The 20,422-nt window shown below is 56.8% G+C and overlaps 2 protein-coding genes and 1 long non-coding RNA gene across 10 annotated transcripts in view, besides 6 other annotated features; 2 read left to right on the forward strand and 1 right to left on the reverse strand.

The window, feature by feature from the left end:
* The window catches only part of HIP1R (huntingtin interacting protein 1 related), a 28,214-nt gene extending 19,841 nt beyond the window's left edge, over positions 1 to 8,373 (forward strand). For 2 of the 3 annotated variants that reach the window (NM_001303099.2, NM_001303097.2), the window contains exons 9-18: positions 317 to 374; positions 465 to 540; positions 677 to 817; positions 963 to 1,024; positions 1,243 to 1,315; positions 1,392 to 1,575; positions 1,668 to 1,756; positions 1,844 to 1,960; positions 2,037 to 2,138; positions 2,433 to 3,429. In NM_001303099.2, the coding sequence (NP_001290028.1) occupies positions 317 to 374; positions 465 to 540; positions 677 to 817; positions 963 to 1,024; positions 1,243 to 1,315; positions 1,392 to 1,575; positions 1,668 to 1,756; positions 1,844 to 1,960; positions 2,037 to 2,138; positions 2,433 to 2,660 (1,130 nt within the window). In that variant the 3' untranslated portion in view covers positions 2,661 to 3,429. Of the gene's footprint in view, positions 1 to 316; positions 375 to 464; positions 541 to 676; positions 818 to 962; positions 1,025 to 1,242; positions 1,316 to 1,391; positions 1,576 to 1,667; positions 1,757 to 1,843; positions 1,961 to 2,036; positions 2,139 to 2,432; positions 3,430 to 3,513; positions 3,662 to 3,760; positions 3,848 to 4,249; positions 4,358 to 4,472; positions 4,610 to 4,837; positions 4,949 to 5,183; positions 5,243 to 5,458; positions 5,490 to 5,559; positions 5,623 to 5,834; positions 5,936 to 6,090; positions 6,197 to 6,327; positions 6,452 to 6,542; positions 6,605 to 6,719; positions 6,927 to 7,117 lie in introns of those variants that run through there. The other variant, NM_003959.3, reaches the window with a different exon arrangement.
* Positions 5,894 to 6,188: a silencer, noted in NCBI's record as "tiled region #11411; HepG2 Repressive DNase matched - State 12:CtcfO". NCBI's record gives its function as "represses a minimal TATA promoter and a strong SV40 promoter by Sharpr-MPRA in HepG2 cells {active_cell/tissue: HepG2}" and the evidence as "EXISTENCE:reporter gene assay evidence [ECO:0000049][PMID:27701403]".
* Positions 8,374 to 9,547: 1,174 nt separating the features above from the next.
* Positions 9,548 to 10,769, forward strand: LOC124903039 (uncharacterized). Its single transcript, XR_007063500.1, has 2 exons — positions 9,548 to 9,994; positions 10,412 to 10,769. It is a non-coding gene; the product is annotated as an uncharacterized LOC124903039 (long non-coding RNA).
* Positions 10,742 to 20,422, reverse strand: part of VPS37B (VPS37B subunit of ESCRT-I) — a 30,795-nt gene continuing 21,114 nt past the window's right edge. For 2 of the 6 annotated variants that reach the window (NM_024667.3, XM_011538743.3), the window contains 3 exons: positions 16,302 to 16,473; positions 13,892 to 13,974; positions 10,742 to 13,019 (listed from right to left, as the gene is read on the reverse strand). In NM_024667.3, the coding sequence (NP_078943.1) occupies positions 12,528 to 13,019; positions 13,892 to 13,974; positions 16,302 to 16,473 (747 nt within the window). In that variant the 3' untranslated portion in view covers positions 10,742 to 12,527. Of the gene's footprint in view, positions 13,020 to 13,891; positions 13,975 to 16,301; positions 16,474 to 16,623; positions 17,080 to 17,309; positions 17,708 to 20,422 lie in introns of those variants that run through there. The other 4 variants (XM_047429550.1, XM_006719602.5, XM_011538745.3 and 1 more) reach the window with 4 other exon arrangements.
* Positions 17,108 to 17,615: an enhancer, noted in NCBI's record as "OCT4-NANOG-H3K27ac-H3K4me1 hESC enhancer chr12:123356243-123356750 (GRCh37/hg19 assembly coordinates)". NCBI's record gives its function as "activates a minimal SCP1, AML or CMV promoter by ChIP-STARR-seq in naive H9 embryonic stem cells {active_cell/tissue: H9 hESC(naive)}" and the evidence as "EXISTENCE:reporter gene assay evidence [ECO:0000049][PMID:30033119]".
* Positions 17,108 to 18,122: a biological region, named in NCBI's record as "hESC enhancers GRCh37_chr12:123356243-123356750 and GRCh37_chr12:123356751-123357257".
* Positions 17,525 to 17,814: an enhancer, noted in NCBI's record as "active region_7240". NCBI's record gives its function as "activates an Ori minimal core promoter by ATAC-STARR-seq in GM12878 lymphoblastoid cells {active_cell/tissue: GM12878}" and the evidence as "EXISTENCE:reporter gene assay evidence [ECO:0000049][PMID:35858748]".
* Positions 17,616 to 18,122: an enhancer, noted in NCBI's record as "OCT4-NANOG-H3K27ac hESC enhancer chr12:123356751-123357257 (GRCh37/hg19 assembly coordinates)". NCBI's record gives its function as "activates a minimal SCP1, AML or CMV promoter by ChIP-STARR-seq in naive and primed H9 embryonic stem cells {active_cell/tissue: H9 hESC(naive and primed)}" and the evidence as "EXISTENCE:reporter gene assay evidence [ECO:0000049][PMID:30033119]".
* Positions 18,632 to 19,138: an enhancer, noted in NCBI's record as "H3K4me1 hESC enhancer chr12:123357767-123358273 (GRCh37/hg19 assembly coordinates)". NCBI's record gives its function as "activates a minimal SCP1, AML or CMV promoter by ChIP-STARR-seq in primed H9 embryonic stem cells {active_cell/tissue: H9 hESC(primed)}" and the evidence as "EXISTENCE:reporter gene assay evidence [ECO:0000049][PMID:30033119]".

Raw genomic sequence — 20,422 nt, forward strand, 5'->3', positions numbered from 1 at the left:
GTGTTAGTGTCAGCCTGGGACCAACGTGTTTGGTGAAAGCGGCTTGCTAGTGCCTCCCGAAGCCAGGTGTGGGTTAGGTGAGATGTGGCCGCAGCGCCTTCCTTTCCATTCGCTGTTTCCTTCTCTAGCTCAGTCTGAACTGAGCCCTCCCACAGCGTCTCCCACAGGTCTCCCCATCCCGATGGGAGAGCGGGCCTGGCCCGGTCTCAGGTGATCTCTGATCTGTGAGTTTGTAGCATACGGAGGAACAAGGCAGGGCAGGTGAGCCCCTGAGCAGTGTGCAGAGAAGTCCTGTTACACTTGTGCCACCCTCCAGGTCTCCCTGCGGACACCCTGCAAGGCCACAGGGACCGGTTCCACGAGCAGTTTCACAGGTACTGCCTGGGACAGGGACAGGATTGAGGCCGGTGGGGGAGAGGCTCCGTGGCCCCTTCCTGAACCCGAACTTCCCACCATCTCTGCAGCCTCAGGAACTTCTTCCGCAGAGCCTCCGACATGCTGTACTTCAAGCGGCTCATCCAGATCCCCCGGCTGCCCGAGGTACCACCCCCAAGAGGGCCCCGAGGCCCTTTGAGGACCCCAGGCACCTGGCTGGGCCCCACACAGGCTATGGAGATGGCGGAAGGAGGGCTTGCTTAGGGGACAGCTGAGCAGGTCCCACCTGCCGCCCCTGCAGGGACCCCCTAACTTCCTGCGGGCCTCAGCCCTGGCTGAGCACATCAAGCCGGTGGTGGTGATCCCCGAGGAGGCCCCGGAAGATGAGGAGCCGGAGAATCTCATTGAGATCAGCACAGGGCCCCCCGCGGGGGAGCCAGTGGTGAGCCCCCTGCCCAGCCCGTGTCCCCCAGTCCTCCAGCTGCAGCATGAGGCCAACGGGAGTGTCGGGTGGCCAGCCCTCCCTTTGCCCACTGCCCGGCCTGGAGGGCACAGGTGAGTGGGGTCACCATGCTTTGCTGTGGCAGGTGGTGGCTGACCTCTTCGATCAGACGTTTGGACCCCCCAATGGGTCTGTGAAGGACGACAGGTGAGGGCTGGAGGAGCCGACTGGGCTGGGGGTGGTTGGAAACGGGCTCAGCTGAGCTGTGCTCTGGACAGTTCTGTCTGGAAAGGCCATAGGTGGGGAACATGAACCCGTGAGGTGCCCAAATCCTGAGTGGCCACTGAGGAGGAGACAGGTTCCTGTGCTGGGTCTGTTGACTGTTCTGGTTGACTTAACTTGAACCCCAGGACCTCTGTCCCCAGGGACCTCCAGATTGAGAGCTTGAAGAGAGAGGTGGAAATGCTCCGCTCTGAACTGGAGAAGATCAAGCTGGAGGTGCGGGGTGGGGATGGGTGGGGGCCAGGGCCCCTCACGGCCCAGGCAGGGCCCCACGTCACACCTCCTCCCGCAGGCCCAGCGGTACATCGCGCAGCTGAAGAGCCAGGTGAATGCACTGGAGGGTGAGCTGGAGGAGCAGCGGAAGCAGAAGCAGAAGGCCCTGGTGGATAATGAGCAGCTCCGCCACGAGCTGGCCCAGCTGAGGGCTGCCCAGCTGGAGGGCGAGCGGAGCCAGGGCCTGCGTGAGGAGGCTGAGAGTACGTGGGGCCTTGGCCACAGGGGTCCAAGGGTGTGTCCCCAGCCCCTGCCACCCCACACGGGGCATCACTGCCCCTCCTCTCGCCCCCAGGGAAGGCCAGTGCCACGGAGGCGCGCTACAACAAGCTGAAGGAAAAGCACAGTGAGCTCGTCCATGTGCACGCGGAGCTGCTCAGAAAGGTAGGTGCAGCCCATCCTCCATCCCAGCCGGTGGCAGGGCCTCTCGGGGATGGCAGCAGAGCATGAGCCCTTCCCCTGCCCATGCAGAACGCGGACACAGCCAAGCAGCTGACGGTGACGCAGCAAAGCCAGGAGGAGGTGGCGCGGGTGAAGGAGCAGCTGGCCTTCCAGGTGGAGCAGGTGAAGCGGGAGTCGGAGTTGAAGGTATGTCCCTTGTGGCACAGGGCCCTGCCCCGGCATCCCCAGCCCACTGCCCCAGTGACACGCTGTCCTGTCCCAGCTAGAGGAGAAGAGCGACCAGCTGGAGAAGCTCAAGAGGGAGCTGGAGGCCAAGGCCGGAGAGCTGGCCCGCGCGCAGGAGGCCCTGAGCCACACAGAGCAGGTGCATCTGGCTTTGATGACTGGAGGTGGGGTTCTGGGGCCAGTCCTGGGTGGAAGTCAGGTCCTCTTTCCCGTGAACAGGCCCCACCTGGGTGCCACTCGGTGATCCTGGGATGCAGCCCTGACCCAGACCCAGGGGCTACATGGGAGACAGGACCTACCGCTGGTCCTCAGGGAGCCCTGAGTCTAATGGAAGTGATCACTAACCCCCAGGGCCCAGTTTATAAGCGTGGGGGCAGGGTGGGTGGGGCCTGGGAGCTCTGTTCACATGCCTGGTGTCCATGTCTGTCCACAGAGCAAGTCGGAGCTGAGCTCACGGCTGGACACGCTGAGTGCGGAGAAGGATGCTCTGAGTGGAGCTGTGCGGCAGCGGGAGGCAGACCTGCTGGCGGCGCAGAGCCTGGTGCGCGAGACAGAGGCGGCGCTGAGCCGGGAGCAGCAGCGCAGCTCCCAGGAGCAGGGCGAGTTGCAGGGCCGGCTGGCAGAGAGGGTATGGCCTCCCCAGATGCAGCAGCACCACTGAGTTCACTGCCGTCTGGCAACCATCGATCTGTCTCCGTGATCTGCCTGTTCTAGAGATTTCATGTAAAGGGGATCATACACGATGCATCCTTTTGTGTCCGGCTTCTTCACTCAGCATCACGTTGTCAAGGGTCACCACATCATAGCCTGTGTCATTACCTCATTCCTTTTATGGCTGAGTCGTACTCTGCCGTGTGGACAGACCACATTGTGTTTATCTGTTCATCACTTGGTGGACATTGGGTTTGTTGCAACTTTCTGGCTGTTGTAAATAGTGCTGCTGTGGGCCTTTGAGCACAAGTTTCTGTGTAAACATCTGCCATCACTTATCTTGGATAGATAGCTGATGTGTGTGGAACACAGTAGAACTGCTGGGTCTCACCTCTGTTACCCTGTTGAGAAACTACCAGACTGTTTTCCAAAGTGGCTGCACCATTTTACACTCCCACCAGCAACGCATGAATGTTCCAGTTTCTCCACATCCTTGCCAATGCTTATTATTGTCTTCTTTTTATTTTAGCCATCCTAGTGGGTGTGGAGTGGTTTCTCACGGTCTTGATTTGTGTTTCCCTGATAGCAAAGGGTGCTACATATCTTTTCATGAGCTACCTGGCCATTTGTGTATCTTTGGAGAAATGTCTTTTAGGACCTTGAGCTCACGTTTTAATTGGGTTATCTTTTTATTCTTGAGCTGTGCACTGTGTGGGAAGCCTCTTTCTAGAAATCTCCACCCCCCTGACCAGTGAGGGTCTCAGCTGGGCTCCAACTGGTGGCCCATGGGTCATTCCAGGGCTGGGGCACATCCTTGGCCTTGGGGAGGATCTCTAACCTGTCCTCTTCACCCCCATTGCCAGGAGTCTCAGGAGCAGGGGCTGCGGCAGAGGCTGCTGGACGAGCAGTTCGCAGTGTTGCGGGGCGCTGCTGCCGAGGCCGCGGGCATCCTGCAGGATGCCGTGAGCAAGCTGGACGACCCCCTGCACCTGCGCTGTACCAGCTCCCCAGGTAGACAGTGGGGCCACACTCAGCCGCTCCCCTGCCTCCTTCCCATCCCCAGCCCTGAGCAGCGGGTGGCAGGGGCCTCAGTTCTCCTCGTGCTTGCAGACTACCTGGTGAGCAGGGCCCAGGAGGCCTTGGATGCCGTGAGCACCCTGGAGGAGGGCCACGCCCAGTACCTGACCTCCTTGGCAGGTGAGTGTAGCCAGGGCAGGGCGGAGGCGGGGGCTGTGTCCCAGTTCCAGCGCCCATGGCCACCTCTTGCCTTTTGGGAGGTTTACAGACAGCAGGGACCTCTCTGGGAAGCCAAGCAGATGCCCCCTGCCTGCTCCTTCCCAGGAACCCACCCCTGCCCTGTGGACAAATAGGCTTTTGCCTCTGGGGCCTGGGCCACCATATGTCTGCAGGTGGCAGAGCACTGAAGGGCCCGGGGCCACACACACTGTGGTGTGGTTCCCACTGCCTCCTGGACGTTGTCTTGCCGAGCCCTCCTTTCCTCTTCCTCCTCCTCCTGGGATAGCTGGCCACCGACGGTGGTCCCAGTGCTAGTGTCTCAGTGTCATCCTCCCCCAACCTTGGCCCCACCCACCCGCACAGACGCCTCCGCCCTGGTGGCAGCTCTGACCCGCTTCTCCCACCTGGCTGCGGATACCATCATCAATGGCGGTGCCACCTCGCACCTGGCTCCCACCGACCCTGCCGACCGTAAGTGGGTCCTGGGATGGCAGGTTCTGTCCACCTCACTGGCTTGTCTCCCCTGGGGGTCCTTATGGAGCCTGTCGGTGGGGGGGGCTCCACTCACGGTCCTTTCTCACCCCAGGCCTCATAGACACCTGCAGGGAGTGCGGGGCCCGGGCTCTGGAGCTCATGGGGCAGCTGCAGGACCAGCAGGCTCTGCGGCACATGCAGGCCAGCCTGGTGCGGACACCCCTGCAGGGCATCCTTCAGCTGGGCCAGGTGAGGCACAGCTGAGTGTGGGTTTGGGAGGCTTGGGCCTGCCTCTGACCTCTGCACCCACCTCTGGGTTGGCTGAACAGGTGTTTGTGCGTGGAGCCTGCAGCCTCAGGACACAGGGTGGGGACCATGCACCCTCCTCGATCCCTGTGGTCCCCAACCTCTTTCCCAGGCTGCCCGTGGGACGGGGGGGGACGGAGGCTACCCCTGTCTGACTCCCATCCTCACCAGGAACTGAAACCCAAGAGCCTAGATGTGCGGCAGGAGGAGCTGGGGGCCGTGGTCGACAAGGAGATGGCGGCCACATCCGCAGCCATTGAAGATGCTGTGCGGAGGATTGAGGTGAGCACGGGATCTGGGGACTCCCCTCATTCCTGTGGAGCTTTGGGGGCCGGAGGCCCCAACTGGGCTGGGTACAGGCTGCACCCACTCCTGCTCTCAGCCTCCAGACAGAGGACAGATGGCGTTTTCCAGGGGCCTGTGAGGTCAGAGCTGAGAGGGCAGGAGGCAGCCCTGGCTTTCCCAGGACCACGGTCCCCTCCTCCCAGCCAGCTCACGGCTCTGTTCTTGGGTGCAGGACATGATGAACCAGGCACGCCACGCCAGCTCGGGGGTGAAGCTGGAGGTGAACGAGAGGTGAGCCCCCCTTCTGTCCCCCCAGGCCCAGCCGAGGTGGGCTCCCCGTGGCCCCTAAGGTTCTGCCCCCAACTGTTCTGCTCACGGGAAAGGAAGGCCTGGCTCAGAGCAGACACTCCCTCCCCACCTGCTGAGCCCTGATGTGGCCAGGCCCGCCATGGCGTCGTGTGGGCTGCTCTGCAGAGCGGCAGCTAAGTCTCTCCTTCTCTCCCCCAGGATCCTCAACTCCTGCACAGACCTGATGAAGGTGAGGGGCTGTGACCCGGGGGGGTCTGCACCTGGAGGGCCACCAGTCATTGCTGTCTTGGTCTCGGCAGGCTATCCGGCTCCTGGTGACGACATCCACTAGCCTGCAGAAGGAGATCGTGGAGAGCGGCAGGGTGAGGGGCCGGCGGCAGCAGGGCACAGTCCACAAGGAGCCTGACCCCCAGCCTAGGCCACCCTGGGCATGAGACCCTCCACCCCCTACCACAGGGAGGCCTCAGGGATGCGCCCTATGGCCAGAGTGAGGGGGAGAGGGCCCTTGAGGGCCACTTTCCACCTTTGGTGTCCTTGACTGGCATGTCCTGCCCTGTTCTCCCGTCGCCACTAGGGGGCAGCCACGCAGCAGGAATTTTACGCCAAGAACTCGCGCTGGACCGAAGGCCTCATCTCGGCCTCCAAGGCTGTGGGCTGGGGAGCCACACAGCTGGTGTAGGTTGCCCTGGGTGGGGGGGGGCAGGGGGCTGCTTCCTGCCAGTTGGAGCAGTTTGGGGTTCAACAGGGTGCAGGGAGTAGAGGGGGTGTGGAGTGGTGCCAGCCGTCCGTGGGGTCAGAGACCCTGGCCCTGACTGGCCCTTGACCCGCAGGGAGGCAGCTGACAAGGTGGTGCTTCACACGGGCAAGTATGAGGAGCTCATCGTCTGCTCCCACGAGATCGCAGCCAGCACGGCCCAGCTGGTGGCGGCCTCCAAGGTGAGCTTGCACGCCGACAGCAGCACACTGGGCTCTGGGCCCAGCTTGGCCTGGGCTGTGGCTGCCAAGCCCAGGCCTGCTGCTGCCCTGAGCTGGGAGACCTGGGCCCACCCTGACCTCTCGCCCCTCAGGTGAAGGCCAACAAGCACAGCCCCCACCTGAGCCGCCTGCAGGAATGTTCTCGCACAGTCAATGAGAGGGCTGCCAATGTGGTGGCCTCCACCAAGTCAGGCCAGGAGCAGATTGAGGACAGAGGTGAGTGCCAGATGCCAACGGGGGCTGCTGGCTCCCGAGGCTGAATGGGGGTGGGTGCCCAGATGTTCACCCCCTTGTCCTCCGGCCACAGACACCATGGATTTCTCCGGCCTGTCCCTCATCAAGCTGAAGAAGCAGGAGATGGAGACCCAGGTAGGCGCCCATGGCTGCCCCGTGACCTCTGAGCTCATCCCTCGGGCGAAGCCTGGACCCAGGAGAGAGCTCCCTGGGGAGGCTGGGCTGGGCTGAGCAGGCCGTGTGGCTACAGGTGCGTGTCCTGGAGCTGGAGAAGACGCTGGAGGCTGAACGCATGCGGCTGGGGGAGTTGCGGAAGCAACACTACGTGCTGGCTGGGGCATCAGGCAGCCCTGGAGAGGAGGTGGCCATCCGGCCCAGCACTGCCCCCCGAAGTGTAACCACCAAGAAACCACCCCTGGCCCAGAAGCCCAGCGTGGCCCCCAGACAGGACCACCAGGTGCCGTCTGCACTGGGATGGGGGAGTTCCTGGACGGGGGTGCTGTCCCCAGCCCTAGAGGGGCACATGGTGCACGTCCCTGGGGAAGTCAGGGACCACTGACAACATGCAGGGAGGAGCTTGCTCAAGGGAGAGGTGGGGCCCCAGGTGCCTGGCTGTGACCACTGACCCCCCACCTTTAACCCCTGCAGCTTGACAAAAAGGATGGCATCTACCCAGCTCAACTCGTGAACTACTAGGCCCCCCAGGGGTCCAGCAGGGTGGCTGGTGACAGGCCTGGGCCTCTGCAACTGCCCTGACAGGACCGAGAGGCCTTGCCCCTCCACCTGGTGCCCAAGCCTCCCGCCCCACCGTCTGGATCAATGTCCTCAAGGCCCCTGGCCCTTACTGAGCCTGCAGGGTCCTGGGCCATGTGGGTGGTGCTTCTGGATGTGAGTCTCTTATTTATCTGCAGAAGGAACTTTGGGGTGCAGCCAGGACCCGGTAGGCCTGAGCCTCAACTCTTCAGAAAATAGTGTTTTTAATATTCCTCTTCAGAAAATAGTGTTTTTAATATTCCGAGCTAGAGCTCTTCTTCCTACGTTTGTAGTCAGCACACTGGGAAACCGGGCCAGCGTGGGGCTCCCTGCCTTCTGGACTCCTGAAGGTCGTGGATGGATGGAAGGCACACAGCCCGTGCCGGCTGATGGGACGAGGGTCAGGCATCCTGTCTGTGGCCTTCTGGGGCACCGATTCTACCAGGCCCTCCAGCTGCGTGGTCTCCGCAGACCAGGCTCTGTGTGGGCTAGAGGAATGTCGCCCATTACTCCTCAGGCCTGGCCCTCGGGCCTCCGTGATGGGAGCCCCCCAGGAGGGGTCAGATGCTGGAAGGGGCCGCTTTCTGGGGAGTGAGGTGAGACATAGCGGCCCGGGCGCTGCCTTCACTCCTGGAGTGAGTTTCCATTTCCAGCTGGAATCTGCAGCCACCCCCATTTCCTGTTTTCCATTCCCCCGTTCTGGCCGCGCCCCACTGCCCACCTGAAGGGGTGGTTTCCAGCCCTCCGGAGAGTGGGCTTGGCCCTAGGCCCTCCAGCTCAGCCAGAAAAAGCCCAGAAACCCAGGTGCTGGACCAGGGCCCTCAGGGAGGGGACCCTGCGGCTAGAGTGGGCTAGGCCCTGGCTTTGCCCGTCAGATTTGAACGAATGTGTGTCCCTTGAGCCCAAGGAGAGCGGCAGGAGGGGTGGGACCAGGCTGGGAGGACAGAGCCAGCAGCTGCCATGCCCTCCTGCTCCCCCCACCCCAGCCCTAGCCCTTTAGCCTTTCACCCTGTGCTCTGGAAAGGCTACCAAATACTGGCCAAGGTCAGGAGGAGCAAAAATGAGCCAGCACCAGCGCCTTGGCTTTGTGTTAGCATTTCCTCCTGAAGTGTTCTGTTGGCAATAAAATGCACTTTGACTGTTTGTTGTCACTGATGCCCCAGAGGGAGGGGCTGTGCCTGGCTCTTCATTCCTCCAGGGACACGTGTTCCCTTGTCGGCCCTGGCCAGGTGCTGGGGCGGGGACCTATTCATGTCTGCATTTAATGCTAGAGTACTTGGGACTGCAGAAAAGCTCAGCAGGGCTGTCACTGGCTGTGTGTGTGTCCGCCTTCCATCTCTCTCTCGGGGGATTTATGGGCCTCAGGGCCCTCCTTTTACACAGGAGGCCAAGAGCCAGCTGCCTCCACAGAGGCCACTTGCACTCCCAGCCTCAATGCCCACAGCTTCCCTGGGGCTCCTAGCAGTTGCTGACCCCCTCAGTGTGTCTGAGACCATGCCTGACTGACAGTTGCTAAGCTAAGGTGGGGACCCTGACTCCCGGCTGGCTTGGACTTGAGCCATGGCCACACACAGCCTTTGCACTTACCGGAAACCTGGAAAGGTGTTCAGTCCCTGGGTGTGTGGCAGCCTCACAAGCACCCACTTTACCCAGGAGCACCATGCCAGAGGGAAGGCTGAGGTGGGGGAGCTCACCCTGTCCTACCCCCTGCCAAGATCACTGGCATTTATAGAGAAACAGGACAGGGTGGGTCAGGGGAGAGAAAAGGCCCCTTGGCTGGCTCCTGTATGGCCTCAGACAAGCCTTCCACCTGTGCTCACGTCTCCTGGAGGATGAAGTGGGGCCTCAGCTAAGGCTGCGTAGCCGGGGTGCTTGTGCCGGGTGGTTAGGGTGAAAGGGCCTTGCAAACTGACCACAAGGGCTAAGACAGACCCTGTGCCTGGCTCTTGTTTGTTTACAAGGCAAGATGGCTTCAGAAACACTAACGGAACTGATTCTCCACCAGATACAAATGAAAATCCACAGGCATTGACAACGCTTAACTGATCATTCTTGAGTCCTCAATGACCAAACTTTTTTTTGAGATGGAGTCTTGCTGTCACCTAGGTGGCAATACAGTGGCGTGCCTTGGCTCACTACAACCTCCTCCCGGGTTCAAGAAATTCTGCCTCAGCCTCCCGAGCAGCTGGGATTACAGGCATGCACCACCATGCCTGGCTAATTTTTGTATTTTTAGTAGAGATGGGGGCTTTGCCATGTTGGCCAGGCTGGTCTCGAACTCCTGATCTCAAGTGATCCGCCCCCCCCCCCCCCCCCCCCCCACCTCAGCCTCCCAAAGTGCTGGGATTCCAGGCCACTGTGCCTGGCCGAAACCTTTAATTGAACAGGCTGCCTCAAGTGTGGGGCTAGAAAGCAGGAGCTTGGGGTCTGGTCCTGCTCCCCCACCCTCTTGGACCTGTCACTGCCTCTCCCTGGTCCTCCTTGTGAATGGGACACACAGCAGGAGGAGAGGCTCCCACAAGGCAAGGTTCATGAGCCACAAGACTCTGTGAAGTCCAGCATCCTCACTGGAGTGGACAACAGATTTGGCTATAAGCTTCCTGGCAGCCACTGGGAAGAAAGAAACTATCACACACTTTTTCTTTAAGGCTAACTGGCTTCTCAGGAAATCCTTCCCTCTTCCTCACAGAAAAACCACAGAAATTTCTCCTGTACATTCTCATAGAACAATGATGTGCCAGGAATGGCAGCTATTACAGGAGACAGCAACAGGTGAGCTTGCTCTCATCTCAGTTCCTCAAGTCCCTTGCAGGGGCATTGTGACCCAGATACACAGCTTAGCTGGGGTGGTGAGGACGCAGGCACACGGCTCAGCCGGGGCGACGGGCATACCTAGCTGCAGGCGCACGGCTCAGCTGGGGCGGCGGACATACATAGCTGCAGGCGCACGGCTCAGCCGGGGCGGCGGGCACAGGGCAGTTCTGTAGCTCTGCAAGGAGGCAGGGTTTGCAGGGTCCCCTCCTCTCGGCCTAGAGAAGGAAACAGCACCCACTGGGCTTTGAAATGGGCAGAGGCAACTGCCTTCTTGAAACACCTGCTGGCAAGTCCCCAAAGCAAAACATCAGAGCCACTGGTTTTCCCACTAAAAACCAACACAGAAAATCCTAACAAGTACCACCATTCACACAGCACACGGCGGCAACCTCACGGACAGAGAGCAGGCACAGTCTGAGCCCTGAGGTCACCCTCAGTCCCCTACTTGGACACAGTGGCTGTGATCCTGAAGACACCCTCTTAAGACACAGAACATGCCCTGTACGTGACTGCTGTTTATGAGACTGGTGACCAAGAGGGTAAGAGGCCCCACCTGTGCCAGGGGCCCTGGACAGGCAGAGATTTTGTCTTCAGCTTCAAAAACAGACGTCCCAGCCAGCTTCCCTGCTGGAACTTTGATCACTGATGTTTCAGAACCAGACATCATGAACATCCACATCCCCAAGTAAATAAGTGACAGGCCTGTTATTAATAATTCTCTATTTATTAAAAAGGGTCCTACAGCTTTACAGCCACAGCACCGGACACGGCCCTGGACAGCGACGGCGAGCCCGGCCAGGGGCCGCTTTGCAACTTCAATGCCAAGCTCACGTCTGGCTGCGACCGTGGCAGGCTGTGGCATCCCCGACAGCGGCCGGTGGCGGAGGTATGGGGGCGGGTGGCACCGCTCACTCGAGATTCACAGAACATGGCAAGCCCGCCTGACTGGCATGGCAGTGAATCGTCCTGTACAGCTTCATTTCCTTTAAGAAAACAGTTACAGTAGAGTTCAAGTCCGAGAGCAGGAATGTACGGTCACTGAGGACAAAAGGCAGTGGCCTGGCCCGTGGCCCAGACCCCGCTTCAGTTCTGCCTTCTGTCACCCTGGCGGCTAGGCACAGGTCGGGGCCCTGGATGCCCGACAAGTGACAGGGGAGGGGCGGGCCAGAAGGTCCACTGGTAAGCACCTCGGCCTTTTCCGTCAACAGGTGCCACTGCCCCCTGCTGGGCCCTGGGCCTTCAGCACACATGGCACGTGAAGATGAGGTCCCACAGGGGTGGGGGAAGAGCAGGTGCAGACGGTTGGAGTGCAGCCCCGTCCCTCAATCCCATGGGGCGGGCTTTCGCCAAACCCCTAACGTTGCCCACCCTGAGGCCCAGCCACCAGCCACCCAGGGGCAGAGGATATTGGCTAAGGGTAGCCTGGGTCAAGGCGGCCGGACGTCTTGACCACCTGTAACAGGGCAATGAACTTGGACAAGCCCTTCAGAGAAAGCAGAGCCGGGGCCTTGCCCAGCCCCTAGCAGGTGTGAGTCCCGGCACCTGGGGAAGCTAAGGCACAGCACGGACACCCGAGGGGGGGGCACCGTGCACTGCTTGCACAAAAGGAAATTGCATCCACTTCATCGGCATTTCGATCTGCTCAAGACAGTATCTGCATTTTTTATAAAATTTCCCTGAATGGTCTTGGGAGTGTCAAAAAAGTTTTTTCAATATAAAACAGGAAAATCACACACGTAGTAAAAATATTGGGGGATTATTTCTTCATAGAAACCTTCAGGGCCGGCTCCAGGCAGGCGGGAGAGGAGGAGCTGGGGACACAATTTGCTGTGCAAAGTCCCACTCGTGCGCTCCCCTCCCACACCAGTGGCCGTTCTCCGGCCTCTGGACTCGGCAGTGGGCCCAGTGCAAACTTTGCTTGTGGCTCTGAAGCAAGAGCAGCAGCCAGGTCAGGCGGTGACTATGGTGACCTCTCCCCAACAGATTCAGTGAGCAACAACGCAGCCACAGGTGGTGGCCCAGCCACGGCGCTCTTCCAGGCCGGCCGGCGCCCACCCGCCCTCACCAGGGCTGCAGTGGCCGGTGGGTGAGACACATAGGACTGTCTTTCGAAAATAAAATAAGTATCATGAACCATGCTCATTAAATAAAGCTGCAACAGAAGGACCACGATTCTAAATGGGACTGGGGGAGAGGCCTATTTCTTCCCAAACATGAGTTCATCAACGCTAAGATACTTAGAAATCACACGGATAATGCAAACCGATGCAACGCACAGGTGTCAGGCTGTAACCCGGCACACACAACTGCCTTGATGCCCAAAGCCTGGGCTCCTACTACTCACCACTGACCTACAGTTCTAAAATCAGACAGACACGCTGGCCCAGGGCCCCAGAGCCCTTGGCACAGAGCGGACCTCCAGCCTCCTTCCCGTGAGCAGAGCACAACACGCCAGGTGGAAGAAGTCTCCCGGGAAGGACCGCGCCGGCGCTCACTGGAGGATGAAACCCGGCTGGTGTGGAGGGAGCCGGGGCGGGGGTCTCTGAGGGAGAGGTGGCGGATATGGGGACACGAACTGCGAAGAGAATCCTTGCTGAGTGGGGAGGCCCACGCGGGGGGGCAGGGGCGGGCACTGTAATCCTGGGTACGGCACGGCCTGTCCCGAACTCATGGCCGCAGTAAACGGGGTGGCTAAGCGTCCCGCAGGCACCGGGGGTGGTGGGGGGGGGATGCGCCGAGGTGCAACGGCAGGAGGCCCACTGGCCTCTGGGGCAGGGTAGGGAAGGGGGGCGGTAGGTGCCAGTTCGGGCAGCCTGGGGGGCAGCGGGGCCAGGGCCTGTGGGAGTCTCTGCCCCTTTAGGACCATCTCCTGGAGCTTCTCGATTTTCACCCGTCGCATGTGGGCCAGTTTCCGTTTGCTCTGATAGACATCAATGAAGGAATCCAGAGGAAGTTCTCCATCCAGAAACTTCTCTGCCATGTTCTGAAAGAGGCAGAAACCTGGTTACAGGGACAGCCAGATGGGGAGGATGCTCCCTTCGTGGTCTAGGCACAAGGAGAGGCAACGCCCAGCTGCTTCCAACACTGCCCCCTCCCTGTAACCACCCAGAGGGCCTCGCTCCTGCTCCAGATCCCAGAGGTCATGGGCTCAGGCTTCAGCATGAGCTGCCACTAGGTGGAGAGGACGACAGCCCTGCTGCGCACCCCACCACCAGCGTGACAGGCAGAGGAGCTGGCCTTTGGGTGAGGGCTCCGACTCCTGGGTCCCAGGCCTCTCTCGAGCCCGCTGGAGTCCAACACCTCCTTGCTTCCACCCGGCTGCACCCTGACTGACAGACTCGCCCTGGGTGGGTAAGCAAGACAGAAACACCTGTGCCCCCAGGGCTTCAGAGTTCATCGAGCCCAGCCCTATCTTGGCAAGACCCTGCCGGCCCCAGCCTGCAACAACTGCACAACATTCGACCTTGACTCATTTCCTTATCGCCTGGCGAGGCTCAAGGCTCTAATGCGCAGCTGGACGTGTCCCAGAAGCTCTGTAGCCTCCTCCCAGCTGGCCCTTGAACGACGGCACGTGGTAATCCGCCACTGGCCCCAGGGGCCGGCGTTCACAGGGTGGCACGCATGCCCTCTCTTGGCCCTCGCTCGGACCTGCCCTCACTCACCCCGCTGCTCCCTGGACCCCTGCCTGGCACTTTCCCCAGCACACAGGCCAGGCTGCCTGCTGGTATACAGCCCGTACACCTGGGAGGCACCACTCCTGGCCGTGGCGGTGTGGCACTCACGGTCCCTGGAGGCAGCGGGCCCACGGACTGCCCAAAGCGCCCCAAGGATTCCACCAAGGCTGGTGGGCTTTACCTCAGTGTCTTCCTCAATCTTGGCCCCTTCTGCCTGAAGAAGTGCTAACAGGGTCTCCAAGGAAGCACTGCTAGACTGTCTGTCTGGAAAAAAAGCAAGAGGTATGACAAAAGTGAGAGGTGTCCAGGTAAAGCCCTTCATGATGCCAACCACGGCAGGATTGCACCTTCCTTTCCAGGAAGCTGAATGTGAAAGGCTTGAAAACCTACAGGGGAACAAGTGCACCAAGCCAGTGCCCAGGGGCCAACATCCCATGTCAGAGCAACCTGTGTCACCAGCTGCTTCTAGAACCAGCTGTTTTCAAATATGGGGCAGTGACATTCTCATCATGCCACTTTGTATTTCCTTTATGTTTTGAGTGGTAACTTACATCGAGTATACACATCTCAAGTGTGTAAGTCAAATTTCCACGTGTTTAACCGCCAACCACCACCCCCCAGATCCAGACACAGAACCTTTCCACCGGGCGCCCTCACGCCCACTGCACCCGCCAGATAACCCCTACGCTGGCCTCCACCACCACAGAGGAGGTCCGCCTGGTCTTGACTCCACATCCTGGAATCAGAGAGTACAGGTCATACTCTCCTGGCTTCTTGCACTCAGCACCGCGTCTCTGAGACCCTGCTCAGGTCTGTGAATCAGTTCGTTTCTTTCCAATGCTGTGTAGTGTTCCATTGTGTAAACAGACTTTATGTGCCCATCACTCTGTAGACGGACATTTTTATTGTTTCCAAATTTTATTATAAGGTAATAAAGATACAACATTCTTGTACCTATCTTCTGAGAGACATTAATATCCACTTCTGTTGGGTATACACCCAGGAGCAGAGCTGCTGTGCAGCGCATACACACTCTTCATTCTAGCAGGTGCTACCCAACAGCCTTCCCCAGGTGAAATGAGAAAAGGAGGTGGCTGTGGCAGTGCAGCCTGCAAGCCCCAGATGACCCATGGACACTCCTACCAGCAAGATGCACGGCACCTCACAGCACTTGGTACTGCCAGTCTTTTTACTTTTCGTCATTCTGGTTTGGGTGTATGATCGTAAATTTTTACTGAAGTTAATGGAGAAAATGACAAGATGATAGCAAGTAGTGACAGACATCACTGTAAACCTCACTGCAGAAGGTGATCTTTAACCCAAACTCTTTAAAGGGATGGGGTCTCTGTCACCCAGGGTGGAGTACAGTAATGCAATCACAGTTCACTGTGGCCTCAGCCTTCAGAGTAGGTGGGACTATAGGCGAGCACCACCACCCCCAGCTTATTTCACTTCTTTTGTAGAGACACAGTCTCGCTCTGTCGCCCAGGCTGGAGTACAGGGCTGCAATCATGGCTCACTGCAGCTTCAATCTCCAAGGCTCAAGCAATCCTCCTTCCTTAGCCTCCCAAGTAGCTAGGACCATAGGCGTGTGCCACCACCCCCAGCTCTGACTTTATCTAAATGTCCCTTTGATAACTATCAAAAGCACTTAGGATGCTCAACAATCTTTAATTCTGATGTCTCCTCCTAATGGCTGCAAATTAAAGTATGCCATTAAAATAAAGTGTTTCAGTGATGCTTTTTTTTTTTTTTTTTTTACCATTAACAAACAGCATAAGACAAACGGGCAAACGTCATAAGACATCTGTTTAATATCATAATTCAGAAAGCTTTTTCTATGCTGTTTAGAGAAGGTGGGGTCTTGAATTTAAAAAGTGGTTAAGTCTCCTCTTCTAAACTGGTGACTGCTAAACTGGCTGGCTTCCTCCTAATCTCCAGCCCCTTTTCTGGTAACTGCCCCGAGGTACCCACGTTTCTGCAACCTGCTTCACACTGCAGACCCTGGAGGTGCGTGTGGACCTGGGCTGACCTCAGCAGTCACCGCCACCAGTCAGGGCCACTGGGAGGAGGGGGCAGTCCTGCTATACACCCTGCCCTCTCGAACCGCAAGTGCAGAGAGGCCGCAGGTCTGGGGGCCCTCCATATTCCATACATAAACTAGTCCAATACAGTGGCTCATGTCTGTAATAGCAGCACTTTGTGAGGCAAAGGCAGGAGGATGGCTTGAGTTCAAGACCAGCCTGGGCAACATAGCAAGACAACCTCTCTGCAAAAAAATGAAAAACTAGCCTGCTTGGGGTAGTGCACACCTGTGGTCCCAGCTACTCAGGAGGCTGAGACAGGAGGATCACCTGAGCCCAGGAGGTCGTGCTGAGCCATGGTTGCGCCACTGCACTCCAGTCTGACAGAGCAAGACCCTGTCTCTAAAAATAAATAAATAATATACATAAGCTATTTGTTCATTGCAGTAGAGTCGCTATCTTAACCTGAAATTTTTCCGTAATATTTCTTTCCTGGTAGGGCAATAGCTTGAAAATGTGTCCTTCTCTCAACTCTTTATTCTCGAATGATCACCCTTAAAAAGTTACCTAATTTGGTCTTCTTTATCTGATAGGCTTCAAAGAGAACCTGGAGTTCCTGGTATTTCTGGGTCAAGCGTGCTTTCAACGTGTCCAGCTGGGGCTGGTACAAAAGGTTTCCTTCTGCCAGGCTCCGGTTGCTGGCAAGTGTCATTTCTTTGTTAAGCTGAACATTCTGTGTCTGCAAGGAACACACAAGATGATGAGAACCAAAAGTATATCAGCTCCTAAACCCCTGAGGTCCCCACGCACACCCCAGGAGCCCAGTGCAGCTGCTGCCACCTCACTGGTCTCCACAGCTGGCACCGCATGCCAGGCAGATGCTACTGACCCAGAGCCAAGCCCCTTGGTTTCTCATTTGGAGCTGCTGCCCGTCGTAAAGAATGAGGCCGACTTCCTTCCAGCACGTTTCCAGGACAGGCTTTGTCCTGTGACTCCATGCAGAGCCTTCCCTGCCACGGCTGCGCTGTGACTTGAATTCCTTACTACGGCCATTGTGCTTGCAGAAGTAAACAGCTGTAAAGATTTAGAATCTGATTTTTTTCAAAACAAGTTTCTGCTGCTCCCGAGGAAGTTAAGGAATCACTTATCAGCAGGAGACCAGTTGGCATGATGTCAATTCAGGCTTCATAAGCAGGCTAAGAGGTCCAACCAGCAAGCTGAAGAGACCCTGGGAAGGAACTGTGTTTCCAGCCACCGGGGTTCCTCTGTCTCTCCCATGCCCACCCCAGCTCTTCTGAGCCTTCCAGCTCCTAGCTGTTGGTGGGTGAGCAAAGCCGACCAAAAGCTGGGGGAAGAGGGGGGACATATTTTGCCCATCAGGGATTTCATTTTGTCCTTTAAAGCAATGACAGGCTACCCTGGTAGGTAGAGAAGAAGCCACATGCCCAGAACTTAGGGGAGAACGACAGGAGTAGAAGGTCTGAGAAAAAAAGGCAAAACGCTCCTAGCAAAACTTAGCCAAAGTTTAAATAAAAAACACAAACGCGTGGGTACCCTAGTTCCCTTTTCACTCACTGGTGATCGGCTTCCTCTACCACAGCCCAGCCGCCGCCACCTCACTTTCCTTCCACACCGTCAGTTTCAACAGCATGCGATTCCTTACCCAGCGTGTGTCCCTGTTTCTCTTTAAGCAGCTCTTCTTCAACGCCACCCCAGTCATCTCATTTTCCCCTTAATATTTTCTACCACCCCACCCAGGCTATTTTTGCTGCGACTTCCTTCCTCTTAGTAGCTCGAGTATAGATTCCTGGCCATGCTGCCTCTGCTCCCCACCCCCAGTCATACCCGTTGATTGCTGTCATAGTTCCTGGTGCGCTCACACGAGTGCACACGCACCACACACACAAGGAAGAGCCTCAGGGAATCAGAGAACAAAGAAAGAAGCCCTTGGATCCATGCCTCAATCAGGAGATCCCTAACCCCAGCAGGAGGGCTCTTTTCAGCAGACAGTGATCTGCATCTCCAGACAACAGCTGCACCCAGGGCCCTAAAGATCAGGCTCTGCTGAAACCCAACAGGATTTAAATGACAATGAAAACCAAACCTCTCTCCCAACTCTAAAGTAAAAGCTAGGAGTGTCCTCGAAATGTGGGTGGTAGAAATGCTTTCATCTCTTCTGATGCCTTTAGCAAAAAAGGAGAATCTTGGGACTGGAAAGACGCAGTTTCACTCGGGTTTCTGGTAAGCAGTGGGGCTCCCGTCACCCGCTTCCCCACCCACAGGGCGGCTCTCCATGGGCTTTCTATGCCAGGCCATGCAGAAGCGTCTTTCCTTCCATTGTTAAGTCATTTAAAAGAACAAACAAAAACCACTGTATGGCCACTCTGGAAAACAGGCACTTTTTAATAAAGCTGAATACGTAACTACCCTATGACCCAGAAGTTGTACTCTTGGGCATTTATATCAGAGAAATGAAAACTTATATTCAACAAAAACCTGCTCAGGACTGTTGAGAGCAACATTTATTTGTAACAACTAAAATCTGGACGCAGCCCAGGTGTCTTTTAACAGGTGAATGGTTAAACAAGCTGCAGGCCAGCCAGGCCGCAAAATACCACTCAGCAGCAAAAGGAAGAAACTTGACTGGCGGGACTGAGAACGCTCTAGGGAATCACACTGAAGGAAAACAGCCAACCCCAAAGGGCCACTCACTCCATGACCCCATGCACACAACACCCTTGAAATACAAAATCACAAAAATAGAGAACAGATTAGCGGTGTGTGTGGGACTATAAAAGGCCGACATGACGGATTTGCACGGGGACGGAGCCGTCCTGATGTTCTGTGTCCTGGCAGTATCAGTGCCCCGATCCTGGTGCTGAGAGTGCGTTGAATTTCACCAGATGTTACCCAGGGGGCAGCTGGGAGAAGGGGACACAGGATCTCTCTGTATTCTTTCAACTGCATGTGAAACTATGAGCATCTCAAAATAAAATTTAACTGTAAATACAACCACCAACCACTGCTGAGATGGCTTTCTCCTGCTGGTCTCACCTGGCGGATGAGGAGAAGGGCACATTGTCCAGGCTGCATTCAGAGACAGGCCTCGCGCTCCTGCTCCCAGACCCACAGTTCTGTGTGTTCCATCACTCTCAATCAATCATTTGTTCAATAAACATTTACTGAGCGAGTATTATCTGCCACGCCTGGGGTTAGGCACAGGGAATTCTGAGAAACAGGAGTGCTCCCACCCTCAAATAAACTGAGTCAAGCATAAATGGAGCCAAACTCATCAGCCCTGATCTGTGAGGCCCCAAATGGCCTGGTCCCCACCATCCCTTCCCGGTCAGTTCTGAGAAAGGAGGTCCCTAACCATCCTGCCTACACCAGCAGCCACCCTCTGTCAGCGCCCATGTCTTTCGTGGCATCATCACTGTCATCAGTGAAGATTAAATCTGTTGTCTCAATCACTGTCTGTCCCAACACTAAATACAGACGACACACTTGTCTTTGGCATCCCAAGCACTTTGCACACATCTGCCACTCAGTGAAGATCTGCTGAATGAATCAGAGAGCCCCCCACAACCCCAAAAAAGCCAAGATTCACTCAAAGCCAAGCCTGGCAAATAAGGGAGGTAACAAAACTGTGGAGGAAAAAAAGCGACCTAAGTTTGTTGAGAGCTAAGTGCCTCCAATCCTTGATGAAGCAGAGGCGCTCCCATCAGAAAGTCACTAGAGACTAAGTCTGAGGGAGGGTGTCACGCTGGACCTTAAAGTAATTGTCAAACAGAATTTCCTCAAAAGTCCTCAGTCAAGGTAGCACACAGCAAGTGCAGGTCTCCCACGCAACCACTTGAAAGACAGCGCTCAATGCAGCACCGACCGACATTCCAGCAGGCGGCCTAGACTACCCCACAGCAGTCTCAGCCTCGGCTGTGCCTTACGATCCCCGTTTACTGGGGAGTAGGGAGGCTGCTGTTACAAATCTCAATGTCCCGACCAACCCCTACCTGTTGAGCTCTTCAGGAGGGGCCAGGCATGGATGCTGCCTTCAAAGCTCCCTGCTGATACATACCGCTAAGCTGAAGACTTTTGCTCCAGTTTCACCATACAAATGCATCTACAAACAAAATCTTATTTCCGTAGGGTTTAAGTCAAGTCAAAATCACTTGTCCTATATATTAGAAAGTCCTAGAGGAGAAGAACACAAGGAAAGCGTGGACTATAATAAAGACAACTCACGTGTCCACATTTCTGGGGTCTGGGGAAAAAAGGCAATTTGTTTTGTATAGGACACACATAAGCCACCAGGCATCAAAAGAGGCCAAATAAAACTCCAACTGAGGCCGAGTGCGGTGGCTCACACCTGTAATCCCAGCACTTTGGGAGGCTGAGGCAGGCAGATCACCTGAGGTTAGGAGTTCAAGACCAGCCTGACCAACATGGAGAGACCCCTTCTCTAAGAAAAATACAAAATTAGCCGGGCATGGTGGCACATGCCTGTAATCCCAGCTACTCGGAGGCTGAGGCAGAAGAATCACTTGAACTTGGGAGGCAGAGGTTGCAGTGAGCCAAGATCGCGCCACTGCACTCCAGCCTGGGCAACAAGAGTGAAACTCCGTCTCAAAAAAAAAAAAAAAAAAAAAAAAAAAAAAAAAACTCCAACTGAGGACTGTTAAACTGGCAGT

Source organism: Homo sapiens, chromosome 12, assembly GCF_000001405.40.
Source record: "Homo sapiens chromosome 12, GRCh38.p14 Primary Assembly".
In the NCBI taxonomy this organism is placed as follows: Eukaryota; Metazoa; Chordata; class Mammalia; order Primates; family Hominidae; genus Homo; species Homo sapiens.